Source organism: Homo sapiens, chromosome 17 (genome assembly GCF_000001405.40).
Source record: "Homo sapiens chromosome 17, GRCh38.p14 Primary Assembly".
Taxonomy (NCBI): Eukaryota; Metazoa; Chordata; class Mammalia; order Primates; family Hominidae; genus Homo; species Homo sapiens.
Window position 1 is genome coordinate 60,724,132 of NC_000017.11, and position 19,148 is coordinate 60,743,279.

The 19,148-nt window shown below is 39.7% G+C and overlaps 1 protein-coding gene and 1 pseudogene across 8 annotated transcripts in view; one reads left to right on the plus strand and one right to left on the minus strand.

Moving 5' to 3' along the window:
- BCAS3 (BCAS3 microtubule associated cell migration factor) overlaps nt 1–19,148 on the plus strand; it is a 714,981-nt gene that overhangs the window by 46,281 nt on the left and 649,552 nt on the right. The window lies entirely within an intron of this gene.
- Nucleotides 2,991–3,366, minus strand: RPL36AP46 (ribosomal protein L36a pseudogene 46; annotated as a pseudogene).

Sequence of the window (19,148 nt, forward strand, 5' to 3'; positions counted from 1 at the left end):
TATTCTTCTAGGCTGGGTGTGGTGGCTCATGACTGTAATCCCAGCACTTTGAGAGGCCAAGGCAGGCGGGCCCCTTGAGGTCAGGAGTTCAAGACTAGCCTGGCCAACATGGTGAAACAGTTCGCTACTGAAAATACAAAAATTAGCTGGGCATGATGGTGTGTGCCTGTAATCCCAGCTGCTTGGGTAGCTGAGGCGTGGGAATTGCTTGAACCCGGGAGGCACAGGTTGCAGTGAGCTGAGATCGCGCCACTGCACTCCAGCCTGGGTGACAGAGTGAGACTGTCTCAAAAAAAAAAAAAAAAAAAAAAGGCCGGATGCGGTGGCTCATGCCCGTAATCCCAGCACTTTGGGAGGCGGAGGCGGTCTTATCACCTGAGGTCAGGAGTTCGAGACCATCTTGGCCAACACGGTGAAACCCCGTCTCTACTAAAAATACAAAAATTAGCCGGGTGTGGTGGAATGCACCTGTAAGCCCAGCTACTTGGGAGGCTGAGGCAGGAGAATTGCTTGAATCCAGGAGTGGGAGGTTGCAGTGAGCCAAGATTGCCACTGCACTCTAGCCTGACAACAGAGTGAGACTTCCTCTAAAAAAAAAAAAAATTCATTTTCTTTTAGTGGGTTGTTGTTTTTACCTTTAGGTTTAAGATTCATTAAAAAAAAAAAAACAGCTTTGTATATGTGTGGTATGAGATGGGGTCAGGGTTATTTCTTTTTTGTTTCATTTCCTTTTTTGTAGAGACAGAGTCTCACTCTGTTGCCCAGGCTGGAGTGCAGTGGTGCCATTATAGCTCACTGCAGCCTCCAAGTCCTGGGCTCAGGTGATCTTCCTGCCTCAGACTCCTGAGCAACTAGTACTATAAGCATGTGCCACCATGCCCAGCTACTTAAAAAAAGTTTTTTTTGTAGAGAGGGGCTCTCATTATGTTACGCAGGCTGGCCTTGAACTCCTGGCCCAAAGCAGTCCATCTGCCTAAGCCTTATTTCTTATTTATCTCTATTTTTAGAATAGTGATACTCAATTGATTCAGCACCATTTCCTGAAAAGACCATTCTTTACCCAATTAATTGGAATAATACCATAGATGTGTAGTAATTCTTATACTCTATTTTTTCATTGGTTTAATTGTCTGCTTTTGAATTCTAAATATGCTAGAAACTCAATCTGAGAAAGTCCCAAAATAAACTTCCCAATTTCTTGCTCTTTGCTTTAAATCTATTTTATTTCCACTCTAGCCCTTCTTGCTAACATCTATATTTTTATTAGAATAGTACCATAATTTTTCCATTCAGCCACACTGAAATGTTCGGGTCTATGTCAAGTATTACGAGATACAAATAAAGTAAGATGTGAGCATTGTCTTGAGGCGATAATTTCCTACTTGGGGGAAAGGTCACTAAATATTTGCAGTCTGTGTCAGTGGTTCCCGACCAGGAGTGATTTTGTTCTCCAAGGGGCCATTTGGCTATTTTTTTCATTGTCATGATTGGGGATTGCTGCTGGCATGTGGTAGGTAGAAGCCAGAGATACTGCTACACATCCTATAATATACAGGACAGACTCCTCGAACAAAGAATTGTTCAGTCCAAAACATCAGTAGTGCTGAGGTTGAAAAACCTTGGTCTGTGTGATCAGTATTAGGATAGAGGTATGAATACAGTGCTGTAGAGCCCCCAAAGAATGACAGGATGCCTGGGGGAGGGTTTTTTTTTCTTTTTGTTTTTTAATCCAGGATCAGACCTGAGGGAGTTTTGTTGTTGTTGTCATTGTTGTTGTTTTTGAGACGGAGTTTCGCTCTTGTTGCCCAGCCTGGAGTGCAATGGTGTGATCTTGGCTCACTGCAGCCTCCACCTCCTGAGTTCAAGCGATTCTCCTGCCTCAGCCTCCCGAGTAGCTGGGATTACAGGCATGCACCACCACACTTGGCTAATTTTGTACTTTTAGTGGAGACAGGGTTTCTCCATGTTGGTCAGGCTGGTCTCGAACTCCTGACCTCAGGTGATAAGACCGCCTTGGCCTCCCAAAGTGCTGGGATTACAGGCGTGAGCCACTGCTCCCGGCCAGAGGGAGGATTTTTTTTTTTTTTGAGACAGAGTCTCACTCTGTTGCCCAGGCTGGAGTGCAGTGGCACGATCTCGGCTCACTGCAGCCTCCACCTCCCGAGTTCAAGTGATTCTCCTGCCTTAGCCTCCCGAGTAGCTGGGATTACAGGCATGCACCACCACTCTTGGCTAATTTTGTATTTTTAGTGGAGACAGGGTTTCTCCATGTTGGTCAGGCTGGTCTCGAACTCCTGACCTCAGGTGATCTGCCCGCCTTGGCCTCCCAAAGTGCTGGGATTATAGGCATGAGCCACTGCGCCCAGCCAGAGGGAGGAATTTTTTTTTTTTTTTTTGAGACAGAGTCTCACTCTGTTGCCCAGGCTGGAGTGCAATGGTGCGATCTCAGCTCACTGCAAGCTCCGCCTCGCAGGTTCACGCCATTCTCCTGCCTCAGCCTCCCGAGTAGCTGGGACTACAGATGCCCGCCATCACGCCAGGCTAATTTTTTGTATTTTTAGTAGACATGGGGTTTCACCATGTTAGCTAGGATGGTCTTGATCTCCTGACCTCGTGATCTGCCTGCCTCGGCCTCCCAGAGTGCTGGAATTACAGGCGTGAGCCACTGCTACTGGCCAAGAGGGAGGAGTTTTAACACTTGTGCTGCCTAGTAAAATTTCGTAGAATATGAAAAAAAATTGTTATAACTGGAATATTCAGAATGCACCATACATTGTTTTAGGCATATTGCATATATTATTTATTATCCTGTCAATTTTACTAGTTAGTGTTAGTCTTATTTTACACTTGAAAAAATTAAGGGCTATATTTAACTAGGTCAAGTTCTTTAACAGATACCTTTTAAAAAACAGACTTTAAAAAAAAATTATTTATTTATTTTTTAAACATATCACTGTATTTATTTTCTCTCAGGTAATTTTTCTATGGCTTCAACATTTTCTCTTCAAAATTAAAAGAAAAATATCCCAAAGTTTAGAACTGGATCTCTTGGCCCTTTCTCTTCTTATCTCCTCCCGGTTCAAAATGCTTACATCTCTGAATGACCACCATCCTCTTGGATCTGCAGTTAGGCTCAACACATTCTGGCCTTAGCACAGTCTTCTTTGTGGTCTTAGCCTTCTTCAGGAAAACTGGCCTTCTCTGCCCACCATAGCCACTCTGCTTCCGATCATAGCGCCTCTTTCCCTGGGCATACAAGGAATCCTTGCTCTTATACTGTGTCACTTTGTGAGGCTGATGCTTGCCACACTTCTTACAGAAGGTTCTTCGGGTTTTAGGTACGTTGACCATCTTTGCAGCAGGGCTGTTCCGTCTATGTGATGAAAACGAGAAATGGCATCTGAGACTCTCGCCTCGCAAAGCTCTCGCCTGACAGGAAAGGAAAAAACAGACTTTATTTTTAAGGGCAGTTTTAGGTTCACGGCAAAACTGAGTAGAAAGTATACGGAGGTCCCGTATACCTCCTGCCTCCACATCGTGCACAACCTCCCCAACTGTCAACACCCCCAGCACCACAGTGGTAAAATTGTTACAATCCATGAACATACATTGATATATTATTGTTACCCACAGTCCATAGCTTACAGTAGGATTCATTTTTGGTGGTATACTTTTTTCCTTTTTTTTTTTTTTTGACACAGGGTCTTGCTCTGTTGGCCATGCTGGAGTACAGTGGTGCGATCTTGGCTCACTGTAGCCTCTGCCTTCTAGGCTCAAGTGATCCTCCCACCTCAGCCTCCTGGGTAGCTGGGACTACAGGTGCATGCCACCATGCCTGGCTAATTTTTCTATTTTTTTGTAGAGATGGGGTTTCGCCATGTTACCCAGGCTGTTCTGGAACTCCTGACCTCAAGTGATCTGCCCACCTCGGCCTCCCAAAGTGCTGGGATTACAGGTGTGAGCCACCGTACCCGGCCTGGTTTTTGGTGGTATACTTTCTATGTGTTTTGACAGATAATATAATGACAGGTATCCACCATTGTAATATCACACAGAATACTCTCACTGCCCTACACATCCTCTGTTCTCTATCTATTCATCCCTCCATCCCTGATAAGCCCTGGGCACCCCTGATCTTTTTATCATGTCCATTCTTTTGCCTTTTCCATGTAGTTGGAATCACTACATGGTAGGTAGCCATTTCAGATTGGTTTCTTTGACTTAGTAATATGCATATAAGGTTCTTTCATGTCTTTTCATGACTTGATAGCTTATTCAGATGCTGAATAATATTTCATTGTATGGAATACCACAATTTGTTTATGACAGATACCTTTTTATTTTTATTTTATTTTATTTTATTTTTGAGATGGAGTCTCACTTTGTCGCCTAGGCTGGAGTACAGTGGGGTGATCTTGGCTCACTGCAACCTCCACCTCCTGGGTTCAAGTGATTCTCCTGCCTCAGCCTCCCAAGTAGCTGGGATTACAGGTGCCCGCCGCCATGCCCAGCTAATTTTTGTACTTTTAGTAGAGACGGGGTTTCACCATGTTGGTCAGGCTGGTCTCGGACTCCTGACCTCAAGCAATCTACCGCCTCAGCTTCCCAAAGTGCTGGGATTACAGGCATGAGCCACCACACCCGATAATATCTTTTTAAAAATAAAGATAATATACATACTCTGAAATGCACAAATCTCAGGTCTATATTTTGGTGATTTTTACTTGTGTATATGTGTTTGTATATATGTGTGTTTATGTATGTCTGTAAGCATGCTTGTGTGTATACACAAGTACGTGAAACCACCATTGGGGAGAAAATGTAGAACATTTTTGTACTCATAAAATTTTCCAGTCAATATTTCTCCTCCTTCCAGGATAAGATAATCACTATTCTGACCCCATATTAGTTTTGCATGCATTGAACTTCATATAAACAGGGGCACACAGTATGTACTCTTTTGCATCTGTTCTCTTTTGCTAAATATACTTTTTAGATTCGTCTGTGTTGTTGCTATATCATGGTAGTTTGCATTTTTTGTTTGTTTTTATTATTGTGTTTTATTTCACTATTTAAATATACCATAATCTGTTTAGTTATTTTCTTTTTGATGGGCTTTGTGTTTCTGGCCTTTGCCTATAATGAATAAAGTGTCTGTGAACATTCTTGTAGATATGTGGACTCTTTTTTTTTTTTTTTTTAAGATACCTAGTGAAATTGCTTAGTCACAGGGTAGGTGGCATATGTTTAACTATTAGAAATTGTGGCCCCATCACCTCCAAAACAAAAAGAAATTGCCCAAGGTTTTCCAAATAGGCTGTATTGTTGTATATTTCCATTTGCAGTATCTGGGAGTTACAGTTGTTCCACTCACTGCTTACATTGATGTTGTCAGTCATTAAAAAAAATCATCTTGTTAATCTTACAAGTTAATATGATAGCTATTTTATGGAAAAAACTTTTAGACTTCTATTTAATATAAACAGTTTCTCCTTGGTTAATTATCTATTGCAAATCTATCTTCTTTAATCAATGGGTTAAATCAAGATAGGTTTACAATACCATTAAAATGTAACAAATTCAGTCTTTTAAAAGTGGAAAGAGGCGATGAACCAAAATTGGTTTATCTGTTGCACTGCTTTCTCTCTTCACTTTTCAATTGAACACCTATCAGCTTGTAATAAAATAATAAAGAGAATCCAGTTTGTATGTCTGAGTGATTATGAAGTGTTTATGACAGCCGCTAGGCCGACACTCTCTATAATGGTGTTACATTGACTTCTGAACACCTTCTCGTCTGCCTCCAGGCGTGTGTGTCACTGTAGTCTGAGTGGTTTTACATTAACATCTACCCTGAGTAAGATCTTTTGACTACCAAAGTGTTAGTTGCAAATGGAAGATACCATTAAGGCGGCTTCAAAGGACTGGAATGATATTTGGATTGGTGCATGCTGAAGTAATGGCTAGAGTTTTGAAGTGTAATATCTAAATCAGTGTTGCATAACTGAAGGAACATGTGAGTTCAAACGGCTTTTGTTTGATCTTCCTTTAGAAAATCAGGCTGAAGGGGAAAGGTTAAAGTTGCCTTAAAACACTCCTTTCTATGTGTGCAAAAATCTGGAAGTATGAAAATATGATTACAAGTTCCATTCATTATTTGTGTTCTGTGGTTTTCGTATTGTTCTTGAAATTTACTTCCTGCCTGCCTGAAGTTTTGTATTATGAATTTAGTGTCAAGACCAAAATACAGACCGGGTTGCTGTTTTCTTTATGTGGTCAGCAAATATCTGTTCTATAAGTTGTTACTCCTCACAAATATGCATTTTAGGCGATTTTTATGGCTTGCATTTTTTTTCTTGATGGTATACACAGTAGGTTACAGAGATACTGACACTCTGATATTAACTGAATCATTTGTGGTTAGGCAGGCAAAAAACAAAACAAAACAAAAAACTTGTTCCCCTCTTCCTCCTAATTTTAGGAGCTTTCAAAAGGACTGCTCTTTACTATTAGGAAAACTTTCCTCAAAGTATGCTATCTTAAGTTTTTAAAATTGTGGAGGCAGAGCTGTAAAAAATAAAATAATACACTAACAGTGACTTGTTAGAGAAAAAAAGGCCTGAGTTTAAGAACTATTTTGAATATAGTGTATTTATAGGAGATTCTGATGCCTCTTTGGGCTGGTTATTTTTGGCAGCCTTTTTCTTTGTTTCCTTATCTATAAAATGAAAATATATTATCAAATTGGCTTACAGGGTGTTTTGAGGGAGAGACTGTCAGCTTTCAGTAGAGCTGGCTCTGTAGTTACTGTGGCCACTCATGTAGCTAGGTGAGTTCTTTTTGTTGCTTCTTAACCGAATTCCTTAGTATAAGATGATACCTGCCATGCCTCCCACATTCTCCTTTACGTTTTTACAATTTCTCCCTAATTAAAAGTAAATTGTTATTAATTTTTAAGTTAAAAAAACTATAATGAATAAATCTTCTTTTTAAGGAACTTCATTCCTTCCAGTTGTATCTGTATGATTAGTACATGTGAAGTAATTAGCAAATTGATAACTATACACGTGTTTTTTTGCTTGTTTGTTTGTTTATTTATTGAGACAAAGTCTTGCTTTGTCGCCCAGGCCTGAGTGCAGTGGCATAATCTTGGCTCACTGCAACCTCTGCCTCCCAGTTCAAGTAATTCTCGTGCCTCAGCCTCTTAAGTAGCTGGGATTACAGGCGTGCGCCATTACGCCCAGCTAATTTTTGTATTTTTAGTAGAGATGGGGTTTCGCCATGTTGGCCAGGCTGGTCTCAAACTCCTGACCTCAGGTGATCTGCCCACCTCACCCTCCCAAAGTGCTGGGATTACAGGCATCCTGGCCTTAATGTGTATATTTAAATGGGTTACGTGAGGTGTTTTTGTTGCTTTAGGAACTGAATTCCTTAGTAGAAGACTTTCTTTCTCTAATCTGTATATTTTTACCTTTTATCCTTGATTTTTTTTCTTCCTATTATGGAAGATTAACATTTATTTGTGGGATTTTAACATTTTCTATATATGTTTAAATTAATAGGCTTTATTTATTTGAGTAGTTTTAGGTTTACAGAAAATTGAGGTGAAAATACAGAGACCTCTCATGTATCCGCTTATCACCCTCCTATTTTTTTTTTTTTTTTGAGGCAGAGTCTCATTTTGTCGCCCAGGCTGGAGTGCAGTGGCATGATCTCGGCTCACTGCAACCACCGCCTTCCAGGTTCAAGCAATTCTCCCATCTCAGCCTCCCAAGTAGCTGGGATTATAGGTGCTTGCTACCACTGCTAATTTTTGTATTTTTAGTAGAGATGGGGTTTCGCGATGTTGTCCAGGCTGGTCTCAAACTCTTAACCTCAGGTGATCCGCCAGCCTCTGCCTCCCAAAGTGCTGGGATTATAGGTGTGAGCCACCGCGCCCGGCCAGCCCTCCTATTTTCAACTATTAACATTTGCATTAGTGTAGTACATTTAGTACAATTGATGAGCTTATATTGACACATTATTAATAACTAAAGTCCTTAGATTAACTTTTTCTCCCCAATAGGATTTTATTGGTGTTACTTTTTAGCTTTTTAAACTACTGATCTTTTTAACTACTGATCTTCATTTGTCTCCATATGGTTAGTACATGTGAAACAATTAGATAAGATTGGTAACTCTGCATTTATATGTTTAAATGGGCTATTTTTAGATCGCTGGTAGCAAGGAAAACAAGTTGCAAGTAAAAACATATAAATAGATAAAACTTAGGGAGGGTGGAGACTGGCTTGATCTTGGATGAGATTATGAAGACTAGTGTGATAAAACCTGCTACATAGACAAGATGCTGCTTACCACCTTGGTAGTAGTTCTTTTCTCCAAGGCTATAAATCATAGGAAGTAATGTATTAGTGAGTTCAAGAACTGGGCTGGGTGTGGTGGCTCACACCTGTAATCCCAGCACTTTGGGAGGCTGAGGCGGGCAGATCACGAGGTCAAGAGATCAAGACCATCCTGGCCAACATGGTGAAACCCCGTGTCTACTAAAAACACAAAAATTAGCTGGGCGTGGTGGTGCGCACCTGTAGTCCCAGCTACTCAGGAGGCTGAGGCAGGAGAATCGCTTGAACCTGGGAGGCGGAGGTTGCAGTGAGCCAAGATCGCACCATTGCACTCCAGCCTGGCGACAGAGCGAGACATCGTCTCAAAAATAAATAAATAAATAAAAAAGACCTGAGCACTGAGCTGTACCAAAATATATTCTTCAATATGGTATTTTAACAAATTTCTACGTATTAAATATTAATAGCATGATTTGAGATCAGGAGAGCTAAGGTACATTATGCTAAATAACATTAAGGTAGAATAGTGAGACCAATATAGACTGAATCATTCATTCATCAATTTATTCATTCAACAAGCATCTCTTTGGATTAACTATCATTTATTGAGTGCCAATTATTATATACTATCAAATATACAATTATACATTTAACAAATATACAATTTATATATTGTTGCCTGGTTAGATAAATATGTTATTAACCTTATTTTAAAACGAAACTCAGATTTAGTAAATTTGTATAGCTAATAAGCATAGTCCATTTTCTTTTCTACTAAACTGTTAGAATCATTGATTTTGTTGATTTGTAAAATTTGTAACAGATGATCTGGTGTATTTTTCATATTTTGCATTGTTGTGATAGGACATGATTTTTGGAATAAGACCAAAATGTCCGGGGTCTCAGGTATTGGCTGCTCTTGCTCCCTCTCTTCCCAGGTGAAATTAGAGCAGTTACTAATTCAGAAGACTCTTGACATGAAAGATATTTTTGACAGAAAGGCAAAATGCACTGGAGATAAACATGAGGCATTCTTTTCCTATGATCTTCCATGTCTAGTGGCCAATTTTAAATACTGGATGTTTGGTTGGGTGTGGTAGCTGACGTCTATAATCCTAGCACTTCTAAGAGACTGAGGTGAGATGACTGCTTGAGCCCGGGAGCTTGAGACCAGCCTGGGCAACTTTGTGAGACCCCAGTCTCTACAAAAAAATTTTTAAAAAGTTAGCTGGGCATGGTGGCATGTACCCGTGGTCCCAGCTACTTGGGAGGCTGAGGTGGGAGAAATGCTTGAGCCCAGGAAGTTGAGGCTGTAGTGAGCATTGATCACGCCACTGCACTCCAGCCTGGGTGACAGATCCAGACCTTGTCTCAAAAAAAATCAGATTGTTTTCTTATTGTTGAGTTTTAAAAGTTCTTTATATATTTTAGATAACAGTACTTTATCAGATGTGTCTTTTGCAAATGTTTTCTCAGTTTATGGCTCGGCTTATGCTCTTGACAATGTCTTTTGGAGTGTAGAAGTTTTAAATTTTAACCAAGTCTAGCTTATTTTTTTCTTACATGGATGGTGCTATTGGTGTATCAAAAAAGTCATCACTATACCCAGTATCATCTAGGTTTTCTCCTGTTATTTATTTAGTTTGAGAGACAAAGTGTTGCTCTAATCCCCAGGCTAGAGTTTTGCTTTACTACCCAGGCTTCTATTACCCAGTAATGCGATCCTAGCTCACTACAGCTTTAAACTCTGGGCTCAAGTGATCCTCCTGCTTCAGCTTCCTGAGTAGCTAGGGCAACAGGTGCACACTACCACACCCAGTTAATTTTTAGATTTTTAGTAGAGATGGAGTCTTGCTGTGTTGCCCAGGCTGGTCTTGAACTCTTGGCCTCAAGCAGTCCTCCCACTTCAGCCTCCCAAAGTGCTGGGATTACAGGTGTGAACCACTGTGCCCAGACTCCTATATTATTTTTTGAGTTTTAGACTTTCGTGTTTCACATTTAGGTCTGTAATCCATTTGGAGTTAATTTTTGTGAAGGGTGTAAGGTCTGTGTCTACATTCATTTTATTGCATGTGGGTGTCCAGTTTTTTCAGCACTATTTGTTGAAAAGACTATCTTGGCTCCATTGTATTATCTGTGCTATTATGTCAAAGATCAATTGACTGTATTTATGTGGGTCTATGAACTCTTTGTTCTGTCCCATTGATCTAATTATCTAGTCTTTCACCAATACTACACTGTTTTGGTTACTGTAGCTTTAAAGTAAGTCTTGAAATCAGATAGCATCAGTGTTCTGACTTTGCTTTCTCCTTCGTATTTAGTTGGCTATTCTGAATTTTTTACCTCTCCATAGAAACTTTAGAATTGATTTGTTGATAGCTACAGAATAACTTGCTTTGATTTTGATTGGGATTACATTGAATGTATACATTAAGTTGGAAAGAACTGACATCTTGACAATATTGAGTCTTCCTATCCATGAATATGGAATGTCTCTTCATTTATTTAGTTCTTTTTTGATATGTTTCATCAGTTTTATAGTTTTCCTCATATAGATTGCATACATATTTTATTAGATTTATACCTACGTATTTCATTTTTGGTGGCACTAATGTACATGGTAATGTATTTTTAAATTTCAAATTCCACTTGTTTAATGCTTGTATATAAGAAAGTGACTTTTGTGTATTAACCTTGTATCCTGCAACCTTGCTGTAATTGCTTATCAATTCCAGTTTTTTGTTGAATCATTTGTATTTTATACATAGATGATCATGTCTTCTGTGAACAAAGCCAGTTTTCTTTCTTTCTTTCCCATTTTTATACCTTTTATTTCCTTTTCTTGTCTTACTGTATTAGCTAGGGTCATGTTAAAAAACCTGGTGAGAGGGGACATCCTTACCTTGTTCCTGATCTTAGTGGAACTGCTTTGAGTTTCTCATCATTCAGTATGATTTTTTATTTTATTTATTATTTTATTGTATTTTATTTTATTTTTGAGACAGGGTCTCACTCTGTCACCCAGGCTTGAGTGCAGTGGCACGATCTCAGCTCACTACAACCCCTGCTTTCTGAGCTCAGGTTATCCTCCCAACTCAGCCTCCTGAGTAGCTGGGACCACAGGTGCATGCCACCATGCAGCACTAATTTTTGTGTTTTTTATAGAGACAGGGTTTCGCCATGTTGCCTAGGCTTGTCTCAAACTCCTGGGTTCAAGCGATCCACTCACCTCTACTTCCTAAAGTGCTGGGATTACAGGTTAAGTGATGTTAGCTGGACTTTTTTTTGTAGATGTTCTTTAATCAGGTTGAGGAAGTTCCCTTCTATTCCTAGTTTCTGAGGAGTTTTTTTCTTTTTTTTCATAAATAGGTGTTGGATTTTGTCATATGCTTTTTCTGCATCTATTATTTGACCATGTGATTTTTACCGTGTAGCTTATCGATGTGATGGCTTATGTTAAGTGAGCCATTAAGTGAGTGTAAGTGAGCTATTACATTAAGTGAGCCATTCAACATTTTTTGAAGGTTGAACCAGCTTTGCATACCTGGTGTGAATTCCACTTGGTTCTTTATTTTATTTTCAGAGACAGGGTCTCACTTCGTCACCCAGGCTGGAGTGCAGTGGTGCAATCATAGCTCACTGTTAACCTCAAACTCCTGGACTCAAGTGATCCTCCTGCCTTTGCCTCCCAAAGTGCTTGGATTACAGGTGTGAGCCACTGTGCCCAGCCTATAATTCTTATTATACTTTGTTGGGTTTGATTTGCTAGTATTTTGTTGAGGATTTTCACATCTATGTTCATGAGAGATATTGATCTGTGGTTTTCTTGTAATGTCTTTTTTTTTTCTTACAGGCGTGTACCACCATGCCCAGCTAATTTTTTTGTATTTTTATTAGAGACGGTGTTTCTCCATGTTGGCCAGGGTGGTCTCAAACTCCTGGCTTCAAGTGATCCACCCACGTCAGCCTCCCAAAGTGCTGGGATTACAGGAGTGAGCCACCACACACAGCCTAACGTCTTTTTTATGGTTCCGGTGTTAGAGTAATACTGGCCTCCTAAAATGATTTAGGAAGCATTCTATATGCTTCTGTCTTCCAAAGAGAATGATAAAGAATTGGTATTATTTCTTTCTTAAATGTATGGTAGAATTCACCAGTGAATTCATCTGGTCCTGGGTGCTTTCTATTTTGGAAGGTTATTAATTACTGAGTCAATTTCTTTAATAGGTGTAGACCTATTCAAGTTGTCTATTTATTGTTGTGTGAGTTTTGGCAGATTGTGTCTTTCAAGGGGTTGGTCCATTTCATCTAGGTTATCAAACTTGTGGGCATAGAGTTGTTCGTAATGTTCCTTTATTATCCTTTTAATGTCCATGGGATCTTTAGTGATCTCCCCTCTTTTCCTTCCCTCCCTCCCTCCCTCCCTTCCTCCCTTCCTCCCTTCCTCCCTTCCTCCCTCCCTTCCTTCCTTCCTTCCTATTTTTGAGACCGAGTCTTGCTCTTTTGCTGAGGCTGGAGTGCAATGGCGCGATCTTGTCTCACCGCAACTGCTGCCTCCCAGGTTCAAGCGGTTCTCTTGCCTCAGACTCCTGAGTAGCTGGGATTGCACGCATGCACCACCACGCCTGGCTAATTTTTGTATTTTTAGTAGAGACAGTGTTTCGCCATGTTGGCCAGGCTGGTCTTGAACTCCTGACCTCAGATGATTCACCTGCCTCGGCCTCCCAAAATGCTGGGATTACAGGTGTGAGCCACTGAGCCCAGCCTCCCCTCTTTCATTTCTAATATTAGTAGTTTGTGCCTTCTCTGTTTCTTTTTCAATTAGCTTGGCTAGAGTCTTAATTTTATTCATCATTTCAAAGAACCAGCTTTTGGTTTCATTGATCTTCTCTATTGATTTTCTGTTTTCAATTTCATTGATTTCTGCTCTATTTTGTATTATTTATTTTCTTCCACTTACTTTGGATTCAATTTGCTCTTCTTTTTCTAGTTTTCTTTAAGGTGGAAGGTTAGATTTTTAATTTTAGATCTTTCTTGTTTTATAATATATTCAGTCAGTGCTACAGATTTCCCTCTATGCACTGCTTTCACTGCATTTCACAAATTTTCTTAAGTTGTATTTTCATTTTCATTAGTTAAACATGTTTAAACATTTCTCTGGAGCTTTCTTCTTTGACCTATGTGCTATTTAGAATTATGTTGTTTAATCTTCAAATATTTGGTTATTTTCCAGCTTTCTATTTTTAATTTCTACTTTAATAATTCTATTGTGGTCATTTAATGATTTCTGTTCTTTTATTTTTTATTTTATTATTATTATTATTTTTTTTGAGATGGAGTCTCACTCTTGTTGCCTGGGCTGGAGTGCAGTGGTGCAATCTTGGCTCACTACAACCCTTGCCTCTTCGGTTCAAGCGATTCTCCTGCCTCAGCCTCCCAAGTAGCTGGGATTACAGGCATGTGCCACCACACCCGGCTACTTTTTGCATTTTTAGTAGAGATGGGGTTTCACCATGTTGGCCAGGCTGGTCTCAAACTCCTGATCTCAGGTGATCTGCTTGTTGGCCTCCCAAAGTGCTGGGATTACAGGCGTGAGCCACTGTGCCCAGCCTGTTCTTTTAAATTTGTTAAGGTGTGTTTTGTGGTCCAGAAGATGCCCTATCTTAGTGAATGTTCCATGTCTGCCTGAAGAATGTTTATTGTGCTACTGTTGTAAGAAGTAGTTTATAGATGTCAGTTATATCCAGTTGACTGATGGTGCTGTTGAGTTCAACTATGTCCTTTTGTGCTTTTCTGGCTGCTGGATCTGTTCGTTTCAGATAGAGGGGTGTTAGAGTCTCTAACTCTAATAGTGGATTCATCTCTTTCTCTTTGTCAATTTTTGCTTCATGTATTTTGGTGCTGTGTTGTTAAGCACATATGTAGTAAGCACCGATTAAGTCTTCTTGGGGTATTGACCCCTTTATCATTATGTAATATCCCCCTTTTTCCCTGACAAGTTTCTTTGCCTTGAAATCTGCTCTGTCTGAAGTTAATACAGCTGTGGTTGCCTTCTTTTGATTAGTGTTAGCATGGTATATCTTCCTACATCCTGTTACTTTTAATCCCTGTCTTTATATTTAAAGTGGATTTCTTCTATACAACATACAGTTGGATCTTGTGTTTTAATCCGTTTTCACAATCTCTGTTGTTTGACATATTTAATTGATGTTTAACGTGATTATTGATATAGATGGATAAATAACTACCATATTTGTTGCCCTTGTTTTAATTTTTTTGTATTTTTAAAAGTTTTTTCTTGTGAAAGGGTCTTGGTCTTCTGCCCAGGCTGCAGTGCAGTGGCATGAACATAGCTCACTGTAGCCTCGAACTCCTGGGCTTAATTGATCCTCCTGCCTCAGCCTTCCATGTAGCAAGCCATCATGACTGGCAAATTTTATTTTTTTTAATTGTTGCTTTGTTTTTTTCTTTTTTTATCTTTCATACTTTTGCTGCTTTTTTAGTTTGAGCATTTTATATGATGTTGTTTCTTACCTTTCTTAGCATATCATTTTTACTACATTTTAAACTTCTTTTAGTGATTGTCCTGGAGTTTGCAATACATTTATAACCAATGCATGCCCACTTTCAAATAACACTATACTGCTTCATGGGTAGTGCAATACCTAATATTAACAAACTATTCATAATTCTCTCTTGTTTCTTGTATCATTGCTGTCATTTATTTCACATATGCATAAGTGCATATATATACACACACAATACCACACATATATACATACACATACATAATTGAGTACATTATTGCTATTATTTTGAACAAACTATTATCTGTAAAAAAATCAGTAAGAAAAATAAGTTTTGGGTCAGGCGCAGTGGCTCATGCCTGTAATCCCAGCACTTTGGGAGGCTGAGGCAGGTGGATCACCTGAGGTCAGGAGATCGAGACCAGCCTGGTCAATGTGGTAAAACCCTGTCTCTACTAAAACTACGAAAATTAGCCAGGTGTAGGGGCAGGCACCTGTAATACCTGCTACTTGGGAGGCTGAGGCAGGAGAATCGCTTGAATTCGGGAGGCAGAGGTTGCAGTGAGCTGAGATCACGCCATTGTACTCCAGCCTGGGCGACAAGAGCAAAACTCTGTCTGAAAAAAAAAGGAAAGAAAAATAAGTTTTATTTCACCTTCACTTATTCTTCTCTGTTGTTTTTCTTTCCTTATGTAAATCTGAGTTTCTGACCTATATTGTTACCTTTTTCCCTGTAGAACTTCTTTTAACATTTCTTGCAAGGCAGGTCTACCAGCAACAAATTCCCTCGGTTCCTGTTTGTCCAAGAAAGTTTTTGTCTTTTGTTTTTGAAGGATGAGTTTTCAGGATACAGAATTAGAGGTTGCTGTTTTTTTTGTTTTTGTTTTTTTTTTTCCACACAACACTCTAAGTGCTTCACTCTCTTCTTGCTTGCATCGTTTATGAGGAAAAGGCAATGTAATTCTTATCCTTGCTCTTCTACAAGTAGATAATTTTTCCTTTGGCTTCTTTCAAGATTTTTTCTTTATCTTTGATTTGTTTGAAATTTGAAAATGGTATGCCTTGGTGTAGGGTTTTTTGGGGCATTTATCCCGCATGCTGTTTTCTGAGCTTACCAGTTCTGATTCTGGTTCTGATGCTTGTTGAGTCTCTTCAGATTGTATTGTTTGCCTTTTAGTATGCTTTCTAATTTTTTGTTAAAAGGAAGATATGGTCCATGTGTGGTGGCTCACACCTGTAATCCTAGCAGTTTGGGAGAGTGAGGCGGGTGGATCACTGAGGCCAGGAGTTCAAGACTAGCCTGGGCAATATGGTGAAACCTCATCTCTACAAAAACATACAAAAAAATTCAGCTGGGCATGGTGGTGGGCACCTGTAGTCCCAGCTACTTGAGAGGCTGAGGTGGGAGAATCACTTGAGCCCAGGGGGGCCGAGGCAGCAGTGAGCCGAGATCATGGTACTACACTCCAGCCTGGGTGACAGGGTGAGACCCTGTCTCAAAAAAAAAAAAAAAAAGAAAAAAGAAAAAAAAGGAGGATATGATGTATTGGGTAAAAGGAACTATGGTAAATGGGACGTTAGTAATTGAGTGGCGGTGTGTGGGGAGGGAAACCATTCTACAGTCCTGTGGGTAAGTTTTAGTCCTTTGTTTCTCATTATTTTTTTGAGAGTGTGTGGTGTGTTTTTTAACATCCTCGAGTGAGACAGAAAGGTAAGAGGAGATTGGATTTGGGTATTTACCTTTCCCCAGGTAGGTTAAGCTCTGATATAACCCCAGCAAGTTAGGCTCTCATAAAGTAGTTTCTGTCGAGGCCAGGCTTTGTTAAGAACAGAATGATCTGGTCTGGCATGTTTCAAGATGGTTCCATTTTCACACCCACTGCCAGAGGCTCGAGGGGATTTTTATTCAGTATTGGCTGTTAGAGCCTGGTGGAGCTCCTGGAGGTAAAACACATCAGTGTGAGGGCCCCTAGGTCTGGGTTCCCCTGGAATTTTTACTTTTTACAATTTTTAATTTTTACATTTTACAATGTCTTGTCCACATTGAACCTCTAGAAATTTGTCAATCACAGTTTAGGTGTTCCTACCTTGGTACTGAGTCCTGAGGTTCTCGCTTGTGGATTTCTGCCCTGGTAAATTGTGATTCTCTGTATCTGCCTGTTTGTCTCTCCAATTTTTGGGGCAGCAGTTTGCTCTATGACGTCATTTTTCTGACGGATGTAAGAAGAGCTGTTCAGCTTTTTACCTGTGGTCAGATCTAAGTGAAGTCTTCTGAGCTGCATGTGTTGGCCTGGAAACTGAAAGTCTGAATGTTCACAAATCAGTGTATTTCAGCTTCGAAGGACATTGTGTTGCTAGAACCTAATCATTGCACCTTAGTTTGAGGGAAGGATTGGTCATTATTGTATTTGGAATTAAGATATGAATTTCATTATGTACAAAAAAACTCTACTTATTCCAAGAGCTGCTTAATCGAGTCCTTGAATCTCATTAATATCCTGTACTATCATACCTATCTGTGGTCCTTCAGGACAAAAGTCTTACATCATCTGCCCTCATGGAGGGCCATTATAATAAAGACTAATTATTTATATATTTACTTTGAGGCAGCATTACATATCCATTGGAGACTGATTTATGCATTTCAGTTACCATGCATCTATTGATTTAAATCCATAATTTTTGGACACCTACCAGAATGGCTGACACTAAATATTGGCTAGGATGTGGAGCAGATAGAACTCTTGTACGTTGCTGGTGGAAGTGTAAATTGGTACAATCACATTGGAAAATTAAATCTACAAAAGATACACATGTGCCTGCCCTAATATACAGAAGTAGTTACTCTACTAGATATATATCCAAGAGAAATACATATACATGTTTACTAAAAGACATTTGTGAGAATGTTTACATCAATATTCTTTATTATGTTGTTTTCAAAATGGTAAAACAGTGATCTCATACAACTATATAAGGGACAGATATCCTGCATTTTTTTTAACTCATTGATTAGGGATTTGGGATGTTATTATAGCTGGTTCCAAGAAGAAGGTGAATATCACAGAGAAGCAATTAGGAATACTGAAATAAATTTTCTAATAGATACAAGCTTGGTTAATATTCTGTTGGGCACTAAAATGTACTGTTTGGAATAATCTTTTCTACAGAGTGGAATTCACTTGTATCTCTACCAGACAAAATTCATTTGCATTTCTGTGCACAAGAATCAATTGCATTACTATCAGTTTTTGACAGCTCAGAGTATTGTACAGTAGCCCAGTCAAAGACAAAGTGTGGATCCCCTATAGAATCAGATAACCCCAAAGGGTCTGCTAGAGAGCTCTTGGTAATCCATAGAAAAAACACAGAACACAAAGTAATCTATTCAGCATTTCAAAATCTTTCACAATTTTCCTTGACATCTTTTTTTTTTTTTTTTTTTTTTTTGAGACTGAGTCTTGCTCTGTTGCCTAGGCTGGAGTGCAATGGTGCAATCTCAGCTCACTGCAACTTCCGCCTCCTGGGTTCAAGCAATCTTCCCACCTCAGCCTCCCGAGTAGCTGGGACTACAGGTGTGTGCCACCATGCCCGGCTAATTTTTGTATTTTTGGTAGAGACAGCTTTTCACCATGTTGGCCAGGCTGGTCTCGAACTCATGACCTCAAGTGTTCCACCCACCTTGGCCTCCCAAAGTGTTGGGATTATAAGGCATGAGCTACTGTGCCTGGCCTCCTTGACATCTTAAGAGCTAAAAACTAGAAGTAAAAAAGTAAAAACAACTCAGAGGTCCATGAACAGTAGTACAATGGATAAAATTGTAATATTTTCGGCCAGGCACGGTGGCTCACGCCTGTAATCCCAGCACTTTGGGAGGCCGAGGTGGGCAGATCATGAGGTCAGGAGATTGAGACCATCCTGGCTAACACAGTGAAACCCCGTCTCTACTAAAAATACAAAAAATTAGCCGGGCATGGTGGCACGTGCCTGTAGTCCCAGCTACTTGGGAGGCTGAGGCAGGAGAATGGCGTGAACCCAGGAGGTGGAGCTTGCAGTGAGCCAAGATCGCGCCACTGCACTCCAGCCTGGGTGACAGAGCGAGACTCCTTCTCAAAAAAAAAAAAAAAAAATTTGTAATATTTTCATACAATGGAAATCTATATAGCAATACATATAAAACTACAATTCCATGCAACAACATGAATTAATTTCATAAGCATAGTAATGTGTGAAAGAAGCCATTCCCAAGGGTACATATTGTGGGAACCCATTTACATTA